The sequence below is a fragment of the Homo sapiens genome, chromosome 20 (genome assembly GCF_000001405.40).
Source record: "Homo sapiens chromosome 20, GRCh38.p14 Primary Assembly".
Taxonomy (NCBI): domain Eukaryota; kingdom Metazoa; phylum Chordata; class Mammalia; order Primates; family Hominidae; genus Homo; species Homo sapiens.
The window spans coordinates 63,960,487-63,980,161 of NC_000020.11; the positions used below are offsets into that span (position 1 = coordinate 63,960,487).

Sequence of the window (19,675 nt, forward strand, 5' to 3'; positions counted from 1 at the left end):
AGGACCAGGCAGGCACCTGCCGCAGGGCTGGACACAGCCTTCAGGACCAGGCAGGCACCTGCCGCAGGGCTGGACACAGCCTTCAGGACCAGGCAGGCACCTGCCGCAGGGCTGGACACAGCCTTCAGGACCAGGCAGGCACCTGCCGCAGGGCTGGACACAGCCTTCGGGACCAGGCAGGCACCTGCAGCAGGGGGCTGGACACAGCCTTCGGGACCAGGCAAGCACCTGCAGGGGGCTGGACACAGCCTTCGGGACCAGGCAAGCACCTGCAGCAGGGCTGGACACAGCCTTCAGGACCAGGCAAGCACCTGCAGCAGGGCTGGACACAGCCTTCAGGACCAGGCAAGCACCTGCAGGGAGCTGGACACAGCCTTCAGGACCAGGCAAGCACCTGCAGCAGGGGGCTGGACACAGCCTTCAGGACCAGGCAAGCACCTGCAGCAGGGGGCTGGACACAGCCTTCGGGACCAGGCAAGCACCTGCAGGGGGCTGGACACAGCCTTCGGGACCAGGCAAGCACCTGCAGCAGGGCTGGACACAGCCTTCGGGACCAGGCAAGCACCTGCAGCAGGGCTGCTGGGGGCTGGAAAGGCGGACACCCCGAGGGCAGCTCCAGCTCAGGGTGCAAGCCTCCCAGTTCTCCCAGGGAAGCCAGACCCCACTTTGAGGAGAAACTACCAGATTTCTCCACATTGGCCACTCTCCCAGGCACACCCCATGCAGGCCACTGACCTCTCTACCCCCAAGGGGTGCCCAACCCCAGCCCTGTCCCCTCCTGGGCTAGCCCCCAGCCACAGGCCCTGGTGATGGCCCTCGCACCTCTGCGTGGGTCTTCAGGATGTGGTATTTGACGCCACTCTCAGAACTGAACTCCTTCGGACACAGCAGACAGCGGTACTTCCCTGCCAGGTGGGCCCCCTGCAATGCATAGGCAGGCCAGTGCCCCAGCCCTTGGAGGACCCAGATCTGTCCTAAGCCCCTACTCATGGCTAAAGGGTCAGAGTCAGCGGTGGCCCAAGGAAAGCTGTGGCTGTCTGTGCCAGACAATGCAGGGGGCCACTGAGTTACCAGGGCGGCAGGGGTGGTAGGGGAGAGGAAGGGTAGGGAGAGGCAGGTGCCCAGGGGAAGAGTTGCAGACCTTTGCCGAGCATCCCTTATTGTAAGCCAGTGTGCCATCTGCGTGGGTCGGGGTGCCCACCCATGCCTACATGGACGCAGAGCTCCAAGGACAGGACTAGGACTCGTTGTCTTGTGGCTGGGGTTGGGGCGAGGGAGGTGTCCTAGGCTGGCCATCAGCCACCGGCCAGTCTCTGGGTTCGTGGAAGAGGAGGCCACGTAGAAAAAGTAGGGGACAAGGCAGGGTCCCTCACTACTGTGTGGGAAGCCCGCGTGGGGTGAGCTGGGAGCTCTGAGTGCAGCGCACCTGGCCGTGGGGCAGGCCCCAGAACTGACCTTACTGCAGCTGGCGAGATGAGCCTTGAGTCCGGACACGCTGGAGTAGATGGCTTCACAGCACTGCAGGGAAGGGAGCCGTGGGCGAAGGCCTCTGGTGGGCACCCCACACCAAGATATACCCCTGCCCTACCCCAGGGGATCTCTGAGGCTCTTTGGGGCAAGTGAGGGGGTGTGAGTCCTGGGGACTGGGCAGGCTGGGCATGTGAGGCCTGGGGTGGGCTTGGGCACCTCCTGAAAGCTCTCAGCCTCTGTTCCTGCTCAGAGGGCCACACCCAGGCTCTGGCCCTGTATGGCTCCCCACGCCCCCCACCCGGCTGCCTCCGCTCACGTCGTTGGGACAGTTGACGTGGCCTTTCTCCTTCACTTCATTCTTCCATGCCTCTAGCAGCTGGGGGTTCAGCGTGGGGAGCCCTGGTCGAGTGTAGTTGAGCTGTGAATTCGACAGCACCAGGGTGAGCCTGAGGCCAGAAGACACCCCAGCTGCTCTAAGAACACTCGCCTCGGCAGCAGGCGACACTCGCCGCAGATGGCGGGGGCAGCGGGTGGCCCAGGTCACAGCAGTGGCTGTCCCAAGTCTCAGGCCAAGGCATGCCCCACGCAGAGGCCACGGCGCTGTCCACAGCCCTGGGGGGGGCAGCTCACCCGTGCGGTCTCGGGCACAAGGTCATCCTTCATGCGCCGCTTGGTCCAGTCGCGGGCCAGCTCGTCCTCCGCTATCTCCTGCAGGTGGAACACCGCCACCTGGGCCGACGTGCGGCGGACACGCCCGCTTGGGGTCCGCTCCACACCCAGCGGGTCCTCAGCCTCAGGGGACTTGTCTGTGGGCTCCTCAGGGGGCTGGAGGGCAGGAAGGCATGGAGGCTAGAGTGAGCCGCGGGAGCAAGAGTCAGGTCAGCGCGCGGCGAGGCCACCCTAAGGCCGGTGGACCCACAGGCCTCCCAGTGTGCTGGGGACATGGCTGACGCAGGCAACCCGAGGGAACACGGAGGTTTCACCCTCCCGCCCACCAGGACACACGTCTCTTACAGAGAGGGGTGGGAAACACACGCGTTGGGCGGTACATGGACAAATACAGTTGGCACCCAAGGCACACGGAACACACACGGCACACAGGAACAAGCACTGTGCCACAGAACAGAGAGCCACTCACGGGGGCCGTGTGCTCCGAGCGCACGTGGTAGTCGTGGCCAGCCTTGGATCGGTACGTCTTGCCACAGTGGGTGCAGGGGAAGGAGGGGCTGTCCACCTCGCAGGGCGGCTTCCCGCAGCGCCGCTGGTGGTACTGGTAGCCCATGAGGCTGGAGAAGGCAGCCCCGCAACCCTGGGGGTCAGGCCAGAGGGTGGGTGAGTGGCCAGCAGGGCCCCCCCACCCCACACTGCCGCGGCCCCCCACTGACCTCCTGGGGGCAGCGCAGCCGTCCCATCTGCTTCAGCACCTTGCGCAGCCTCTCGCGCTCCTCCTGCTCGCCCCCTTCGGAGGCCTCGGCGTCAGAGGGCTGGGGACAGGGTGAGCATCGGTGACCCGGCACCATCGCCACGGAGCCCTGCCCTGGCCCCGCCCCGCCCAGGTGTTGGGCCACCGTTGTCCGAGGTTAGAAACCGGGGGCACTGCGGTGAAGGTGGGGTGCGAGGTCAGAGGTCACGCTGGACGGGAGCTGGGGGCCCGACGGTACCTTGGCACTGTGCTCGGCCATAGTGTGGTAGTTGAGGCCGGCTTTGGACTTGAACTGCTTCCGGCAGTGCTGGCACTTGAGTGCATCCTGAAGCTGCAGATGGCCCACATGTGAGAAGCCTGCCTGGGGCCAGGGCGCCTCCCTCCCAGCGCCTTCCGGGAGCTGCCTTACCTTCTGACACACCTCCATGTGCTTCTTAAGCCCCACGAGAGTCTTCCGGGTGACCACGTTGCAGGTGGGGCAGACGGCTTCCCCGCGCTCATGGATGGCCCTCTGCCACTGCTCTTCAGGGCCACCTGTGGGTAAGGCAGGGGCCTCGAAGGCTTGTGGGGGCTGCTGGGTGGCCCAGACGCCAGGCACAGAATCCAGTCTCCACACTCAGCCCCCATCCCTGTGCTGTGGGATCTACCCGCCGTCTAGAGCTGCCCTGAGCCCCTGCCAGGCAGCCCCTACCTGGAGCTGGGTGGGCCACAGGGGCCGGTGCCTCCTTGCTGACAGTGATGGGGGCAGCTGGCACCTTCTTCCGGGCGTCCTCAGGGCCTGGCCCCTCCTGCTTCTTGGAGCGGTGAACTCGGGCCTTGTCCTCAGCTTTGACCAGGCCTGTGTGCACACATGGGGTGGAGAGAAACAGGGATGGGCTCAGGGGCTGTCACTCGGTGGACAGCCCCAGCCCTGGAGGTGCACACCGGGCTGGGGTCTTACCTTTGAGCCCAAAGGTCCCTGAGATGGATGGCTGCTCCCCTGTAAACTTTTTGGGTGTTTTCTGTTTCCTTCCTGACTCGGGGAGAGAAAACGGGGGCCAAGATTCTGGTGAAATAACCGTCAGGAGGCCGAGCCTGCCCCGGCCGCCACCCCTGGAGCTCTCATCTTACTGTGCTTTGTGCGCTCCGGGTCCTCCTCAGGCGGGGACGCAGGGCCTGCAGCCTTCAGTGCCTCCATGCCCCCTGACGGCCTGCTGCCTGGCGACAAGGAGCCACTGCTGGTGTCTGCACTCAGCTGGAAGGCCGAGCTCTGGCCCATGGAGGAGGGGCCGTACTCCCCATTCTCTGGCCTGGCCTGCTTGGGTGGAATTGGGCAGGTGTCCAGGCTGTCCGCAGCCCTGCAGGGAGCAGGTGAGGTGAGGGCCAGGAGGGCCTAACTGTGGGCCCCATTACCCCCAGGCCGTGGCCGAGGAGCACCCTGACCTGGAACGAGCCCCCATACCTTTTCTCACCACTGTTCCCCGACCTGGGACAAGCCCCCATACCTTTTCTTACCACTGTTCCCTGACCTGGGACGAGCCCCCATACCTTTTCTCACCACTGTTCCCTGACCTGGGACGAGCCCCCATACCTTTTCTCACCACTGTTCCCCGACCTGGGACGAGCCCCCATACCTTTTCTCACCACTGTTCCCTGACCTGGGACGAGCCCCCATACCTTTTCTCACCACTGTTCCTCCCCGACCTGGGACGAGCCCCCATACCTTTTCTCACCACTGTTCCCCGACCTGGGACGAGCCCCCATACCTTTTCTCACCACTGTTCCCTGACCTGGAACGAGCCCCCATACCTTTTCTCACCACTGTTCCCCGACCTGGGACGAGCCCCCATACCTTTTCTCACCACTGTTCCCCGACCTGGGACGAGCCCCCATACCTTTTCTCACCACTGTTCCCCGACCTGGGACGAGCCCCCATACCTTTTCTCACCACTGTTCCCCGACCTGGGACGAGCCCCCATACCTTTTCTCACCACTGTTCCCCGACCTGGGACGAGCCCCCATACCTTTTCTCACCACTGTTCCCTGACCTGGGACGAGCCCCCATACCTTTTCTCACCACTGTTCCCCGACCTGGGACGAGCCCCCATACCTTTTCTTACCACTGTTCCCCGACCTGGGACGAGCCCCCATACCTTTTCTTACCACTGTTCCTCCCCGACCTGGGACGAGCCCCCATACCTTTTCTCACCACTGTTCCTCCCCAACCTGGGACGAGCCCCCATACCTTTTCTCACCACTGTTCCTCCCCGACCTGGGACGAGCCCCCATACCTTTTCTCACCACTGTTCCCTGACCTGGGACGAGCCCCCATACCTTTTCTTACCACTGTTCCTCCCCGACCTGGGACGAGCCCCCATACCTTTTCTTACCACTGTTCCTCCCCGACCTGGGACGAGCCCCCATACCTTTTCTTACCACTGTTCCTCCCCGACCTGGGACGAGCCCCCATACCTTTTCTTACCACTGTTCCCCGACCTGGGACGAGCCCCCATACCTTTTCTCACCACTGTTCCCTGACCTGGGACGAGCCCCCATACCTTTTCTTACCACTGTTCCCTGACCTGGGACGAGCCCCCATACCTTTTCTCACCACTGTTCCTCCCCGACCTGGGACGAGCCCCCATACCTTTTCTCACCACTGTTCCCCGACCTGGGACGAGCCCCCATACCTTTTCTTACCACTGTTCCTCCCTGACCTGGGACGAGCCCCCATACCTTTTCTTACCACTGTTCCTCCCCGACCTGGGACGAGCCCCCATACCTTTTCTTACCACTGTTCCTCCCTGTGGCACGAGGTGCTTTGTTCTCCGACCTGGTCAGCAGCACCATTTTGCAGGGCGGTGTGTGTCTGCTGATAGCAATGGGCCTGCTGACTGTCACCGGCTTGCTGACCACAATGGGCCTGCTGACTGTCACTGGCTTGGTGACCGGCACGGGTTTCGTAACTGTCACAAGCTTTGTTACCGTAATGGGTTTGGTGACAGGTACGGGTTTGGTGACCGGCACAGACTTGGTGACTGTGATGGGTTTGGTGACCGGCATGGCCTTGGTGACGGGCATGGGCCTGCTGACTGTGACAGGTTTGGTGACTGGCACGGGCCTAGTGACCGGGATGGCCTTGGTGACTGGCATGGGTCTGCCGACCGAGACTGGCTTGCTGATGCCAATGGGTTTGCTGACACCCACAGGTTTGCCAATAGTGACAGGTTTGCTCACTCCGATGGGCTTGCTGACCCCAACAGGCCGGCTGATGGTGACCGGCCTGCTGATGGGCCCAGGCTTGGAGGCAGGCAGGGGTCGGTCCATGTGGTTCCAGATCCGGTGTTTCTCCAGCTGGGTCTTAGAGGTGAATGCGGCCTCGCAGAAGGGGCAGGGGAAGGCCAGGCGATCTGAGATGGCACCCTGGGCAGGGAAGGGAAGGTTTGGGACAGGGCCCCAAGGGCCTCTGCCCAAACACACCCCGAGGCCTCCTCTCCCCCGACCCACAGTCCCTTACCCCTTGGCACCGCTGGTAATGGTACTTGAGCCCGTAGATGCTGGGGAACTCCAGCCAGCACCCTGAGTTTGGACACTTCACCCTCGAGTGTGCCTTGAACTCATCCTTCCAGTCGTTCATCAGGGAGAGCTAGGCGTGGGGAAAGGTGGTGCTGCTGACCCGCAGCCACCTGGGCCACTGCCAGCCCGAGCCCCAGACTCAGAGCCCCCCCGGGCCTGCAGGGCACACACACCACATGAGCCCCTCAACCTCGGGACTGCAGTGGGAATTCAAGCCACCTGGCAGGGGCCATGCACAAGACCCGTTCTAGGAGCCCACCAACGCGATCCCCCGAATCTCCCGGCACATCAGATACAAAGCCAGGCCACGTGAAGTCTGCCAGGCCAGTGCCCACATCTTGAGGCATAGAGTTGGTACCAGATGTGCAGAGGACAAATCAGGGCAGGGCAGTGGCTGGATAGGGAGACCCCAGCATGAGCCCCACCATGGCCCTGAGGGAGCTCACAGGAATGTCTCGGAGGGCCTGGTTCTCGGCTTTTGGCCGCCCCTTTTTCTTCCCTTCTGTCTTGTCACTGGCTGGACTTCCCGGGTCAAAGCAGAGAGGGGCCTGGCCGGGCACTGTCTGTCCACCACGGACCACCGGCATCCCTGCAGCACACAACACAGCAAGGCTCGGAAGCTGTGTAGCACCGCCTACCACCGGCGGCTGCACAGGCCCACAGTGAGCACCGCTGTCCCAACACGAGGGCACCGGGGGCAGGGGCTGCGGCCAGCTGAGGACAAGAACCCAGGACCCTGGGCTATGTCCAAGGCAACCCCTACCCTGGTAAGGTCCTTGGGAACTCTAGGGGCCTAGCTGGGTACCTGGAGACAGGACGCCCAGGGCAATGGTCCACTCCTACCACTTGCTGCCCAGAACCATCTGGAATTGACTCTGGCCCTGACTCCTCTTACCCATCTTCGGTGGGTCATGCAGCATTGGAAGTCGGACCTCCTTTCGGCTGCCATCCTTCCCGGGACCACTCTTGCTGGACCCCGGGAGCCGACGGCCTCCAACGCAGAAAGGATCCGTCATCTCTGCAGAGCAAGTAGACAATCTGTGAAGCCTGACGGGCCCCACTTGGAACACGTGGTGAGGCTGCCCTGGAGCCCTGCCCTTGGCAGGTCCTCTCTGGTCAGGGAAGAGGGGCCTGCCTTCCTGTGGTTTTGTTCACGTGGGAAAAGCAAGTGATGGGGGCTTCTGACTTAGGGGAGGGGCTGCCAGCCAAGGTCTCCCCAGATAACCCAGGAGTCATCATCAGTTTGATAGGATCTAGTCCTGTCCTGAGACCCTCACCAACTTCCAGACCCCCTTCCCAACACGCAGCTCTACAGTGTACGCAGCTCCACAGTGTGCGTAGCCCCACAGCTGCGAAGATGATGCCGAAGGTGATGCACTCCTACCCAGTGCTGGGAGGGGGTGTGCCCCTGGGAGAGGTGCCTTGCGCAGGAGGAAGGAGGCTGGCAACATTCCTCCAGGGGCCAATTATGTCTCTGATGATGGCTGCTGGCTCACAAGCTGCCCAGGCCCAGCAGTGGGGGCACAGCTTCTCACTGGGGCCCTCATACCTTCCCATGCTGACTTGATGCAATGCCAGCCTACCCAGGCAGGTACCCTTGGAATCTTCTCTCCAGACACAGATGGAAAACAGCCAAGGTGGGCACTGAGGACCCCTGGCCCAATCTGGCACTGCACCAAGCTCCCGTCCCTGTGCCGGCTGAACTATCCTACCTGATGCTCTTCGCAGACTTGTCTCCAGGCTTGGCAGGCTGACCCGCCCCCCACCTCTCTCTGGATCCTCTCAGTCCTCTGCCTACAGACCCACCACTACCACTTCAGCCAAACAAGTCGTGGAAGCACCAGCAGTGAAGGCCCAGGATGCTGGCCAGAGAGAACGCCCTGCTGCCCAAGGCTGGGGCCCCCGAGGGCCTGTGCTGCTGGGAACCCCATCCTGAGAGCTGGGGAGCAGAGGAGACTCTGGGCCCAGCCCTGTGGAAAAGCCACGGAAGGGGGTGGGACAGGAAGCAGGGTGAGGGTTGAGTGGGCAGGTGGCCCCCTCCTGATAGCTTCTAATTAACTTGGATCCGAGGGGATGGGAAGGGGCTGCTGTGTCCAGGAGGGCCAGAGAGCTGAGGTCAGAGGTCAGGACAGTCACTGCCCATTGCCAAGGGGGAGGCCAGTGTCCGGGGACAAAGTTCTCTGGAAGTCCTCACTTTGCAACTTTTGAAAGGAGACAGGGCCGGCATGAGTCATCCCAGCACCTGATGACCCCGGTGGCCTGGGGTGCAGGTGCCTGCTGAGGCCCCACTTCCAATTTTTCTGAAGCCTGGGAGAAGAATTCAGAATAGTGGGGCCTGAGGCCAGGGCCAGCCTGGGAGGCAGAGACGCGACTGGCGCCCCGGATGAGAAGGGGCTTCGGCCCTCCCGAGCCCAGCGGGGACACAGAGCCCTCGCGGGGAGAGGGGGCTCCGCCGCGCTGCGCGCAGGAGACGCCAGCAGCGGGTCCGCCGCGTAGGCCGTTCGGCCCGGGACCCCGGCCCAGGCCTGGCGCGCGGGTGAGCGCGGCCAGGGACGCGCACCTGGGGCCAGCCTCGCCACCCACCTGTCACCTGGGGCCGGGAGCGGGCGCGGGGCGCGGGCCTCGGCCTGGCCGGGCAGGGCCGATCGCGGGCGCGGGGTGGGGGGGCGAAGGCAGTGAACCAAAATGGCGACTTTTTCTGGAGAAGGAGGAGGCAGGAAGACGGCGCCGGCGCGGGGCGCGGGGGCTCGGGCGCGGCGGGGGGCGGGGGGGCTCCGGGCCCGGCCCCCTCCTTGGCCTGCGCGCAGGGTCGAGATCCGGGGCGCGGTGGGCGCCGGGGCTGCGGCCAGAATGGGTCCGGGGCGCGGCCGGGCGCTTACCTGCGGCGCCCAGCGGGGCTGCGGCCGGGCCGGGCCGGGCCGGGGCGGGGGGCGCGGGGCGCGGGGCGCTGGGTCCGGGCGGCGCAGGCTGCGCGCCGCGCTGCGCACATGCGCGCTCCCGCCCCTCCCACCTTTGACAGTTTTACTGCGGGGGGGAGGGGGCGAACTCTCGCGTTATTCCCGCGGCCGCTCCGCGACGGGGAGGGGGCGGGGAGGGGGCGGGGGCGGGGGCGGGGGCCCGGCGCTGGCCTGTGGTTCCCCCGCTCCGCGGTTCCGCCCCCGTCGGCCGGGCCCGCAGTCCAGAGTAGCCGGTTCTGCCGTCCTGGGGCGGGGGACGTTTTTTGGACAGTGGGGTAAACTGAGGCCCGATAGGGGCGCTAGGCACTGCCCGGAGTCCGGCGCGCACGGATTGAGGCGACCTGATTCCGCCGCATCCTGGCCCGCGCGGCGAGTGTGGTCTCTGGGCTCGGGACCCTGACCTCTGGCCCTGGGGGCCGTGCACCGGCAGCGCAGGATTCAGCCTTCTTCCAACTGGCCCTGAGACCACTTTTGCGACTGACCCCCGGAGGTGCCTGGCGGCTTAAGGCCATGGGGTTTTACTGGGGTCACTGACCATTGGGTCACCCTTTCCCAGCTCTGGGGGCAGTGGTTCTGAACCAGTGCCAGGGCCTTCTCTGCCCCACAGCTTGGGCTTCTGCAGGCAGGGGGCACTGGGGTCCGGTGTGGGCTGAGTGGTCTGGAGGTGGCGGGGCACTGACAGCACAGGACTTGGGAATGAATGAGACAGAGAAAGGTTGGCTCTCCTAAAGAGGACTGGTAGGAGGCACCACACGGGACTGGCACAGGACCCACAAGAATCTCCCCCAGGAGAGCCTGCCTGCCTGCCTGCCTGCCTTCCTTCCTTCCCTCTCTTACTTCCTTCTCTCCTTCCTTCCTTCCTTCTTCCTTCCCTCCCTTCTCTTCCTTCCCTTCCCTCCCTCCCTCCCTTCTTCCTTCCTTTCCTTCCTTCTTCCTTCCTTCCTTTTCTCTTTCCTTCCTTCTCTTCTCTTCCCTCCCTCCCTTCCTCCCTTCCTTCTCTTCCTTCCCTTACCTTCCTCCCTCCCTTCTTCCTTCCTTTCCTTCCTTCTTCCTTCCTTCCCTTCCCTTCCTCCCTTCCTTTTCTCCTTCCTTCCCTTCCTTCTCTTCCCTCCCTCCCTTTCTCCTTCCTTCCTTCCTTTCTCTCTCTTTCTTTTTCTCCCCTCCCCTCCCTTCTCCTCCCCTCCCTTCCCCTCCTCTCCTTTCTCCTTCTCCGTTCTTTTTTTATTCTTGAGATAGGGTCTCGCTCTGTCATTCAGGCTGGAATGCAGTGGTGTGATCTTGGCTCACTGCAGCCTCTACCACCTGGGCTCAAGCAATCCTCCCACCTCGGCCTCCCAAGTAGCTGGAACTACAGGTGTGTGCCACCCCACCTGGCTAAGTTTTAAAGTATTCATAGAGACGAGGTCTTTCTGTGTTGACTAGGCTGGTCTTGAACTCCTGGGCTTAAGCCATCTTCCTGCCTCAGCCTCCCACAGTGTGGGCATTACAGGTGTGACCCACCGCCTCTGGCTAGGAGGGCATTTTTTTTTTTTTTTTTTTTTGAGACAGAGTCTGGCTCTGTAGCCCAGGCTGGAGTGCAGTGGTGCGATCTCGGCTCACTGCAAGCTCCGCCTCCTGGGTTCATGCCATTCTCCTGCCTCAGCCAACCAAGTAGCTGGAACTACAGGCGCCCACCACCACGCCCGGCTAATTTTTTTGTATTTTTAGTAGAGACGGAGTTTCACCCTGTTAGCCAGGATGGTCTCAATCTCCTGACCTCGTGATCCGCCCACCTCGGCCTCCCAAAGTGCTGGGATTACAGGCGTGAGCCACTGCCCCTGGCCTTAGGAGGGCCATTCTTACCTGTTCACAGCACCCATCTCCCAGGGAAGGCCTCAGGCCTCAGGAGGGAAGAGTCAAGGAGACTCTGGGTTTTCATCTTGTGCCCATAGAGCATTTTTTTTTTTTTTTTTTTGAGATGGAGTCTCTCTCTGTTGCCCAGGCTGGACTGCAGTGGCGCCATCTCTGCTCACTGCAACCTCCGCCTCCTGGGTTCAAGCAATTCTGCCTCAGCCCCCTGAGTAGCTGGGATTACAGGCACGTGCCACCATACCCAGCTGATTTTTTGTATTTTTAGTAGAGACGGGGTTTTACCAAGCTGGCCAGGCTGGTCTCGAACTCCTGACCTCGTGATCCACCCACCTCGGCCTCCCAAAGTGCTGGAATTACAGGCATGCGCCACCGCACCCAGCCAGCATTTTTTTTAAAACCATGTGCATATATTACTTTTATAATTAAAACAGACTTTTAAAAGTTTCGTAATGCCCCTTTTTGCATACTACAAATATTCTGGACTCCTTAAAATTGATGTGGGCTGGAAGTTGCTAGTCAGGAAATGGAACTACCAGGTGTGCCTCCTTCGCTGGGGCCCTTCCGGCCCAGTCGGCCCCTTTCCCTGTACCCCGTGGAGCAAGCTCAGAGGCACTGCTAGGGGGTTGGGCAGTAAGATTTTTGCCTTTCCTCAAAGGGGCCTGGGATCTGCTTCACTCAAGGCTGGTGCAGAGCACTCACATGGAGATTGGAGGTTGGCTCTTATAGAAGAGGCAGTCAGTCAATCCTTCCTTCGGGAATCTGAGTCAGAGAGGCCAGTGCACACCAGCCTGTGTGACCCGAGGAGGAAGGGGAGGGCATTCCCTGTGAGGCTAGCGTCATCACGTCCTTCCCTTGTTGACCTTTCCCACCCTGGGGACGGGACCAGCAGGATTTCCTGAGGGGTCAGTGTGTGTCCCCTTAGGTGCAGCCAAGGCCGTCAGCTCTCCCTGTGTAAGTCTGGGTGTCCATACATGCGACCTGTTTGGACATTGCCGTGTCAGGATATGACAGTGTCCCATGCTAGGTGAGACCAATGCCTGTCTGTATTTTAGCATCTGGGCGACTAGACCTCAGGGTACCTGGGGACGATGTGTCTGGATTTCAGTATCCATGTGTCCAGGCTGCGGCATGTCTCAGTGTCAGGGTGCTGGTGAGGGACGGCTGTTTTCTGTGAGCATCTACATGCCAGGGTGTCGTGGAATACAGTGTGTTTGTGTGCACCGGGGATGTGCCGTGTCCCATGTGTTTCTATGTGTTAGGAGGTCGTTGTGTGTCTGCATGCTAGTATTTGTGTATTTGTGTAATGACATCTTTGTATGGGGGCATGCTGTTACATACCTTTGTGTCTGTGTGCCTGGCCAACTACATGCATGTGTTTGTGTGTGTTGGTGTTTGCTGGTGTCAGTGTCATTGAGTCTCTGTGTGTGGTTTATGCTCTTATGTGTCTGATTGCTGTGTGTGTGTGGTGTGTGTGTGTGTGTGTGTGTGTGCTGTGATCTGTGTTTGAGACAGGGTCTTGCTCTGTTGCCCAGGCTGGAGTGCAGTTGTGTGGTTAGAGCTCACTGTGCCTTGAACTCCTGGGCTCAAGGAATCTTCCTGCCTCAGCCTCCCAAGTAGCTGGGACTACGGGTATGCGCCACCATGCCTGGCTAGTTTCAAAAGTTTTTTGTAGAGATGGGGTCTTGCTATGTCACACAGGCTGGTCTTGAACTCCTGGCCTTCAGCGACACTCCTGCCTTGGTCTCCCACAGTGCTGGGATTGCAGGCGTGAGCCACCGTACCAGGCCAGATGTTTGTGTTTTATCCCTGAACGTGTGAATGGGATCTTATTGGGAAAAGGGTATTTGCAGATGTGATGAAAGATCTTGTGATGAGGAGATTATCCTGTATTACCCAGGTGGCCCCAAATCCAAGCATCCTTATAAGAGAGAGACAGAGGGAGATTTGAGAGACAGAAGAGGAGGAGGTGATCTGATTACAGAGGCGGAGACGGGTAATGCCCATGCGCCCGAGTTCCCCCGGCAGCCACTGGAAGCTGGAGAGGTGAGGAGTCGCCCCAGGAGGCCCTGAGGGAGCTGGATTTTGGACTGCGGCCTCCAGAACTCCAGAGAGAATGAATGTCTGCTGTTCTCAGCACCCCTCCGTGGTCCTCTGTCACGGCAGCCGCGGGACCCTCACGCGCTGTCTGGGCCGTCCCTTCCAGCGTGTCGGGCGTTGTGTCCAGCACTGGGGACCGCCCACAGGCGTGACTTGAGCCCTGTTTCCAGCCTCTGCGCGGGGTTGCCCAGACGCCCCTCCAGGGCGTGACGCCACTGCCCCCTGGTGGCCGCGGCTGCCCAGACGCCCTCTCCTCGCAGACCCAGCACCGCCAGCACTTGGGAACCAGCTTTATTTCTGATTTTTTTTTTTTGTCAGAGTATAAAAAAGTGAGTGCAGCAAAACAAGGAAGACGAGACAGGCGTGCGTGGGCCAGGGCAAGACAGAGGAGAAGGGAGGGAAGCAGAGGCAGAAGGGCCCCTTGGGCGAAGGCTGATGGTGGGAGGCGGGCAGAATACTTGCGCAGCCACACAGGGGCAGGGATGAGGGTCTCCCCGTGGTGGGGGCTTACAGGATGGGAGCGGCCAGGCCAGTTGTCCAAATTCCACCTGGGACCTGCAGTGACCAGCCTCGAGTCTGGAGGCTCAAAGCACACAGAGGGGACTAGGGGCTCAGCCTCATCTGTCCCTGAGATTTTCAGAAGCCACAGGGGGACTGGGAGAGGGCAGAGGCGCAAGAGGGTGGAGGCGGCTAGGGCCGCCCTCACTGTCCTTCCGCCAGGCAGCACCAGCCCCAAACCACCCAGAGAGGGGTTGCTCAGGCCTCTGGGAGGGTGTAAGGGGAGTGGCCCTGGGAAGGCCTCTCCCCTGAATCCAGGCCTTCTTGGGAAAGCAGCAATGGGAAGGCCCACGCACAAGGCCCTTGTTCTTGAGGGCGAGGGGGGAAGACCATAAAAGCAAGATTTTCCCAAAGATAGGGCAGGGAGCACTGCTAAGCCTGGGCCCTGGGCGCGGAGCCACCTGGACAGGGCTGGGGTTCTCGTTGTGCCACATTTTGTCTCTGGCGCTTGGTCAATCTGGTCCTTTCTCAGCTTTACTTCTCATGAATAGAGGGGGTGTGGTGACGATGTATAAATAATGATGAAAGTGCTTGGCATGGTGCCCGTTAGGCGGGTGCTGATGGCCACTACTCTAGATGATGGGTTGGCCTGCTGGGCCCTGGCAGGTGCATGGGCACAAGCCACAGGGAGCCGAGGCAGCTTATGGTACCTGTGTGGGCCAACCTGGAGGTGCTGGGGAACGACCTAGAACTGGGCTGGGTGGGTGGACAGACAAGTGACTCAGCAGGCGATGGGGGACCGACATCACGTGGAGAGGGGAATGTAAATAAACAGACTCCCTGGGAGTCTAGGGGGGACATCCAAACCGGTTCTGGCTCCAGGCAGCTGCCCCACATGCTGCCAGCTGCACCAGGGGAGGGCTTGGGCTCAGGTCCCAGGAGGTGGGGCCACACTCAAGCAGCCCCCTACCCACCCAGCCCCAGGGCACGACCTGGAATGTCCAACCAGAGGCGCCTGGAGGTGTGATCCTGGTCCTGTCTGTCCGTTGGGCCAGCCTGGCCGCCCCGGCATCCCGCAGGGTCCAAGAGGCGCTGCGGGGCCAGCTTGGCCTCCTCCCTAGCCGTGGACTCCCATCACAGTGCTGGGGTCTGGGTTCAAGCCTCAGCAGCAGCTAGGACATTTTCCCGAAGGAAGCTGTGTGATGGAAGAGGGTGAGAATGGGGTGGGGTCTTTGGCATCATCTGCATTAGGGCGCTTACTGGGGCCTGCAGCCGACCTCCTGAGGTCATCCCACCCCACACTCAGAGGGGCTTCTCCATCAGCCCCCAGGCCTCTCTGGCACCTCACACTGACCTTGGCTGAGCAGCTGCAGGCTCCGCCCCTCCTCACGCACCTGCAGGCGGAGCACCTGCTGCAGCACCTCCTGCCTCTGGGCCTCCTGGGCCAGCCCCATCCGCTGCAGCTTCTCCGCATTCAGCCGCAGCAGTGCCCGGCCTGGGGAGAGGAAAGAGGGGCTGAGCTGAGGCCAACAGAGGCATCAAGAGCCAAGGCAAGGCTGGTGCCATGGCTCATGCCTGTGATCCCAGCACTTTGGGAGGCCGAGGCGGGCAGATCACTTGAGGTCAGGAGTTCAAGACCAGCCTGGACAACATGGTGAAACCCCGTTTCTACTAAAAGTATAAAAATTAGCTGGGCTTGGTGGTGTGCGCCTGTAGTCCCAGCTACTCGGGAGGCTGAGGCGGGAGGATCACTTGAACCTGGGAGGTGGAGGTTGCAGTGAGCTGAGATCGTGCCACTGCACTCCAGACTGGATGACAGAGCGAGACTCCTTCTCAGAAACAAACAAACAAACAAACAACAAACTGAGCCAAGGCAGAAGCAGGGACTGAAAGAGAAAAAGGGAGGAGAGAGAGAGGAAGCGGGAAGCACGGGCACAGAGAGACTCGGAGAGAGGGAGGAGAGAGAGAGGAAGCGAGGTTCAGAGAGACTCAGAGGGAGAAAGAGAATCAGCAAAACACACAGAGACTTAAAGGAGAGAGGCAGAGGGAAAGGAAGGAGAGCAAAAGGCAGGGACGGAACAGAGAAAAGCCAGATGAAGACAGCACAGAGAGATGGGAAGAGACACAGAAGAAAGGCAGAGAGGTCCGGACGCAGTGGCTCACACCTGTAATCCCAGCACTTTGGGAGGCTGAGGCAGGCGGATCACCTGAGATCAGGAGTTCGAGATCATCCTGGGCAACACAGTGAAACCCTGTCTCTACTAAAAATACAAAATTAGCCAGGCGTGGTGGTGCATGCCTGTAATCCCAGGTACTCGGGAGGCTGAGGCAGGAGGATTGCTTGAACCTGGCAGGCAGAGGATGTGGTGAGCCAAGATCGCACCATTTCACTCAGCCTGGGCAACAGGAGTAAATCTCTGTCTCACCAAAAAAAAAAAAAAAAAAAAAAAAAAAGAAAGGCAGAGAGATAGAAAAGACAGATTCTGCGGAGATGAAGAACAGAGGGGAGGTTGATTCACAGGAGAAACTAGACAGACGAAAACAACAGCAAGAGAAAGGCAGGCTGAGTGTGGGGAAGAGACGCTCTGAGGCAGGTTAGCCCCACTCCCACAGCACCCTCAGCGCCACTGTACCGGTGATGGCATGCTGGGAGAAGGCCTCCACGTAGACGAGGTAGTTGTGGGGACAGTGCTTCTTGAGCCACTTGCAGACGTCCTGCTGACTCCACAGGACCACGGGCCGGGTCAGGCCACCCAGCGAGGGGCTTGTATGGTACAGGCCATAGTGGTCAGAGTACAGCCGGCCCTGCAGGGGAGGGGCGTGGCAGGCAGAGTGAGAGTGGTGGAGAAGGAGGGCAGGGACGGAGGTGGGTGGAGTGGGTGGGTACCTGGGGGGTGTCTGTGCCGGGCTGCTGCAGGAGCTTGATTGGCCTGCTGCTGGCCGCCCTCTGGCTGCGGGAGTCATGCCACGTGAGGCTGGTGCCAGGTGTCCGAGGCAAGTGGCAGGGGATGCTCTCAGCTGACACCGTGTGCTCCAGGAGGGTCCGGCAGAAGCTGAAGTGGGCAGTGGCTGTGTGTGGGGGTGCCTGGTCAGGGCAGTCAAGGGCAGAACCAGAGGCTTCCTCTACTTGAGAGCTAGCTCCCTGCCCCATCTCCTCCACACTAGTGCGGGAAATCACCTCCCCAATGAGGGGTTCCCAAGCCTCCAAAGGCAGAAGGAAGTGTGCAGGACCTGTTTCGAGGACCTCACCCAGCACAAAAAGAGAAGAACTGGAAACACCTTTCATCTTGCAAGTCTACAGCCCTCACCCAGGGGAGCAGGATGGATTCTTAGATCAGAGGATGTGCCCTCTAGGGAAGGGAACCTGAGACATATGACAAGAGGAGCTATCCTGGGACAGCCCTGACCTCACCCTTGCCTTGGGCTGGCCCACAAGTCTTGCACACACCACACCAGACCAGGAAGTGCACACACGGCCTGCTTTGAGGAAAGGCAGATCCCGAGTCCGGGGAGGTCGTCTGTGCTGGGGAAACCGGGCTGAGGATGCTGCTTGCCCATCGCCACTGAAGGCACCCAGTTCACACAGCCCTATCTGGTGTTGGGGCCCGACTCACTGACTATGACTCATTGACAGCCTGAACTGTGGGCCAACTGACAAGCAGGGCTCACTCCGCAAACACGCGCTGGGCTCTCCAGCTGTGCCGCCCCCCACAGGGCCTGCAGCCCGGGACAACACCGGCCATGTGAATGGTGGGTACCCATTGGATATGGGCGGGTCAGCACAGGTATGTGGGGTGCAGCCATTGCTTGGGGACCCACGGTGATGCTCTGTGCTCCCTCTTCCCACAGTAACTGCATTAAAGTGTTTCATCTGAGCTTTGTCATCATCTCTGGGGGCACTGCTGACCTGAGTCTGGGGAGGCAGGCGTCTTGATCCAGGTCTGGTTACAGAGGGGCACCCCACATTCATTGTCAATGAATGAATGAATGAAGGCTCTGTATGGTATCTGCAAGTGAACAGAGCCTGTGGGGAGACAGAAGGTGGGCACAGGCCTGCCCCTGTCTTTACAGCACCCTAGCACCCAGGCCTTCAGCAGGGCAGGTGAGGTTCCCACGCTAGGGCCCTCATCCCATCCACCCTAGAGTGAGAGACCCTCCCGGCCTCAGACTCAGCCACCCACTCCACACCCAGGGCAGGGGTTGGGGATGTGTCTAGGAGGTCTAAGTATCGGTGAAAACCACATCCTACTTCCCCGTCCTCCCACGCCTGTAAGACTTAGGAGACATAACACCTTCCGCCCCCATTCTTGCAACTTTCAGGAACCGGACCCCTGGGTGACTCCAAATTTGAGGTCTGGGGTCAGCAGAGGGTGTGCTCAGTGGGCCACCGCCCCGAGGTGGCCCCTAGTGCTGTGGGAAAAGGCTTATTCTAAGCCCGCGCCTTCCAGCGGACAGGCGCCGTGGTCGCCGGGCTTTGCAGGGCCTCGAGCGGCGGGGCTGGTGCAGAAGCGCGCGGCAGTCCGGGGAAACCCGTCGGACTCCTCAGCCCGCACGGCACCTGCCCCGGCCAAGCAGGCTCCGCCCATTTCCTGCCTGCACTCCCGGAGGGAGTTCCGTCCGTCCCGCGGTCTGTCGGTCCGGTCCCTCCCGCCCCAACGTCAGGATTCCAGAAGGAAATGGGGCGGGGGCACCGAGGCGGGATGTGACCTCGGCCCCCTTTCGGCCCCACTGCAAAAGCGGGGGAGGGTTTTCCCCGTGCGCAGGAAAAGGTGACCCGAGCGTAGTGCCAGCCTGGACACAGGCGCCCCGGCTTGACACCCCCTCACCCCAAGCCAAGGGCGCGCTGACCCCCAAGGCCTGAGGCTGGCTGCCCCCTAAAGCAGGACAAAGGCTACGGGACCCCGTTGAGCCGAGACATCCGCCGAATACCCCCAGCCACCGCCGCTCGAAGCCCGCCGGGTCCCGCCCCGCCCCCGTGCCTCTGGGTCCCTGAGACCCCCGCCCGAGAAATCCCCGCTCCCCAATCCAGCCCCGCTCACCGTCCACATCCCGGCGCTCCCCGAAGCCCGCGCGCACGGCCCCGGCGCGGCCACGCGGGGGGCTCAGCTTGGACCTCAGCTCGGTGAACATGGGGCCCGCGGGTGCCAGGCCCGCGCACACGCCCCTCGCCGAGTGCAGGGCGGCCGGTGTGGCCGGCGGGGAACGCGCGCCGCCGCCCCGCCCCGCCCCAGCCGGCCCCGCGCCCGAGCCGGTCCCCGCGGCCCGCGAGTGTGCGCGACGAGGCACCTGCCGCCGAGCCCTGTGTGCCGGGCGCGCTCCGGGAGCTCCGAGGTGTGTCGGCGGCGCGCGGGCCTGCGTGCACCAAGGCTGTCCGCCAGGGCGAGGGGCGTCCGTGCGCCCCTGGGCACGGCTCCGCGGAGGAGAGTCCCCGTGAACCTGCCGGGCGTCCTCTGAGGTCGGGCCCCTCTGTGCGTGGGGGTGGGCTGAGGGGCATCTCACAGGGGTCTTCTACCTACCGGGGCCAGGACAAGGGGCAGGTCAACGCCTCCCACACACTTTCCTCGGTCTCCTACGTCTTTACTCGCCTTCAAATAGGCACCCGCTTCCCCGGAGAAACCAGCTTGACTCTTGCTTACCGCCCACCCCACTGTGAACATCAGGGTGGTTCTCCCTTCCCTCTGCAGCCCCAGAACCTGGCTCAGTGCCCGGGGGAGAGGGGGCGGTACAGTGCTCTGTAACTGAAAGGGGCTTGGCTTGCCTGGAGATGGGGCAGAGGGGAACTCCAAGGAGGCTGTAGCAGGCCGGAGCGGTGTGTTTGCTCCAG

The 19,675-nt window shown here is 61.7% G+C and overlaps 2 protein-coding genes across 11 annotated transcripts in view, besides 7 other annotated features; both read right to left on the reverse strand.

Annotated features, from left to right (window-relative positions):
- Nucleotides 1-9,444, reverse strand: part of ZNF512B (zinc finger protein 512B) — a 13,227-nt gene extending 3,783 nt beyond the window's left edge. Inside the window, exons 1-17 of one of the 7 annotated variants that reach the window (XM_047440326.1) lie at nucleotides 9,328-9,444; nucleotides 8,643-8,755; nucleotides 7,344-7,466; nucleotides 6,895-7,037; nucleotides 6,390-6,518; nucleotides 5,655-6,295; nucleotides 4,004-4,230; nucleotides 3,834-3,905; nucleotides 3,585-3,731; nucleotides 3,303-3,427; nucleotides 3,132-3,224; nucleotides 2,856-2,954; nucleotides 2,609-2,779; nucleotides 2,101-2,295; nucleotides 1,787-1,888; nucleotides 1,456-1,518; nucleotides 823-921 (exon numbers count right to left, since the gene is read on the reverse strand). In XM_047440326.1, the coding sequence (XP_047296282.1) occupies nucleotides 823-921; nucleotides 1,456-1,518; nucleotides 1,787-1,888; nucleotides 2,101-2,295; nucleotides 2,609-2,779; nucleotides 2,856-2,954; nucleotides 3,132-3,224; nucleotides 3,303-3,427; nucleotides 3,585-3,731; nucleotides 3,834-3,905; nucleotides 4,004-4,230; nucleotides 5,655-6,295; nucleotides 6,390-6,518; nucleotides 6,895-7,037; nucleotides 7,344-7,466; nucleotides 8,643-8,755; nucleotides 9,328-9,437 (2,652 nt within the window). In that variant the 5' untranslated portion in view covers nucleotides 9,438-9,444. The other 6 variants (NM_020713.3, XM_047440327.1, XM_011528930.3 and 3 more) reach the window with 6 other exon arrangements.
- Nucleotides 7,796-8,333: an enhancer, noted in NCBI's record as "H3K4me1 hESC enhancer chr20:62599635-62600172 (GRCh37/hg19 assembly coordinates)". NCBI's record gives its function as "activates a minimal SCP1, AML or CMV promoter by ChIP-STARR-seq in naive H9 embryonic stem cells {active_cell/tissue: H9 hESC(naive)}" and the evidence as "EXISTENCE:reporter gene assay evidence [ECO:0000049][PMID:30033119]".
- Nucleotides 8,334-8,869: an enhancer, noted in NCBI's record as "H3K4me1 hESC enhancer chr20:62600173-62600708 (GRCh37/hg19 assembly coordinates)". NCBI's record gives its function as "activates a minimal SCP1, AML or CMV promoter by ChIP-STARR-seq in naive H9 embryonic stem cells {active_cell/tissue: H9 hESC(naive)}" and the evidence as "EXISTENCE:reporter gene assay evidence [ECO:0000049][PMID:30033119]".
- Nucleotides 9,552-9,631: a silencer, noted in NCBI's record as "silent region_13196". NCBI's record gives its function as "represses an Ori minimal core promoter by ATAC-STARR-seq in GM12878 lymphoblastoid cells {active_cell/tissue: GM12878}" and the evidence as "EXISTENCE:reporter gene assay evidence [ECO:0000049][PMID:35858748]".
- SAMD10 (sterile alpha motif domain containing 10) lies at nucleotides 13,630-19,658 on the reverse strand. Of its 4 annotated transcripts, none has more exons than XM_011528565.3 (6): nucleotides 19,368-19,658; nucleotides 17,759-17,858; nucleotides 16,739-16,920; nucleotides 16,485-16,656; nucleotides 15,206-15,346; nucleotides 13,630-15,046 (listed from the first exon to the last, which is right to left on the reverse strand). In XM_011528565.3, the coding sequence occupies exons 1-6, from the start codon at nucleotides 19,506-19,508 to the stop codon at nucleotides 15,024-15,026; spliced, it is 759 nt and encodes a 252-aa protein (XP_011526867.2). In that variant the 5' UTR covers nucleotides 19,509-19,658; the 3' UTR covers nucleotides 13,630-15,023. The 4 variants fall into 4 exon arrangements, with proteins under 4 accessions (XP_011526867.2, XP_006723768.1, XP_005260256.1 ...); XM_006723705.4 differs by lacking the exon at nucleotides 19,368-19,658 and adding an exon at nucleotides 18,891-19,156; XM_005260199.5 differs by lacking the exon at nucleotides 19,368-19,658 and adding an exon at nucleotides 18,891-19,156 and having other exon boundaries at nucleotides 17,759-17,875.
- Nucleotides 18,310-18,604: an enhancer, noted in NCBI's record as "tiled region #2003; HepG2 Activating DNase matched - State 1:Tss, and K562 Activating DNase unmatched - State 1:Tss". NCBI's record gives its function as "activates a minimal TATA promoter and a strong SV40 promoter by Sharpr-MPRA in HepG2 and K562 cells {active_cell/tissue: HepG2 | K562}" and the evidence as "EXISTENCE:reporter gene assay evidence [ECO:0000049][PMID:27701403]".
- Nucleotides 18,590-19,105: an enhancer, noted in NCBI's record as "H3K4me1 hESC enhancer chr20:62610429-62610944 (GRCh37/hg19 assembly coordinates)". NCBI's record gives its function as "activates a minimal SCP1, AML or CMV promoter by ChIP-STARR-seq in naive H9 embryonic stem cells {active_cell/tissue: H9 hESC(naive)}" and the evidence as "EXISTENCE:reporter gene assay evidence [ECO:0000049][PMID:30033119]".
- Nucleotides 18,590-19,270: a biological region, named in NCBI's record as "H3K4me1 hESC enhancer GRCh37_chr20:62610429-62610944".
- Nucleotides 18,951-19,270: a silencer, noted in NCBI's record as "silent region_13197". NCBI's record gives its function as "represses an Ori minimal core promoter by ATAC-STARR-seq in GM12878 lymphoblastoid cells {active_cell/tissue: GM12878}" and the evidence as "EXISTENCE:reporter gene assay evidence [ECO:0000049][PMID:35858748]".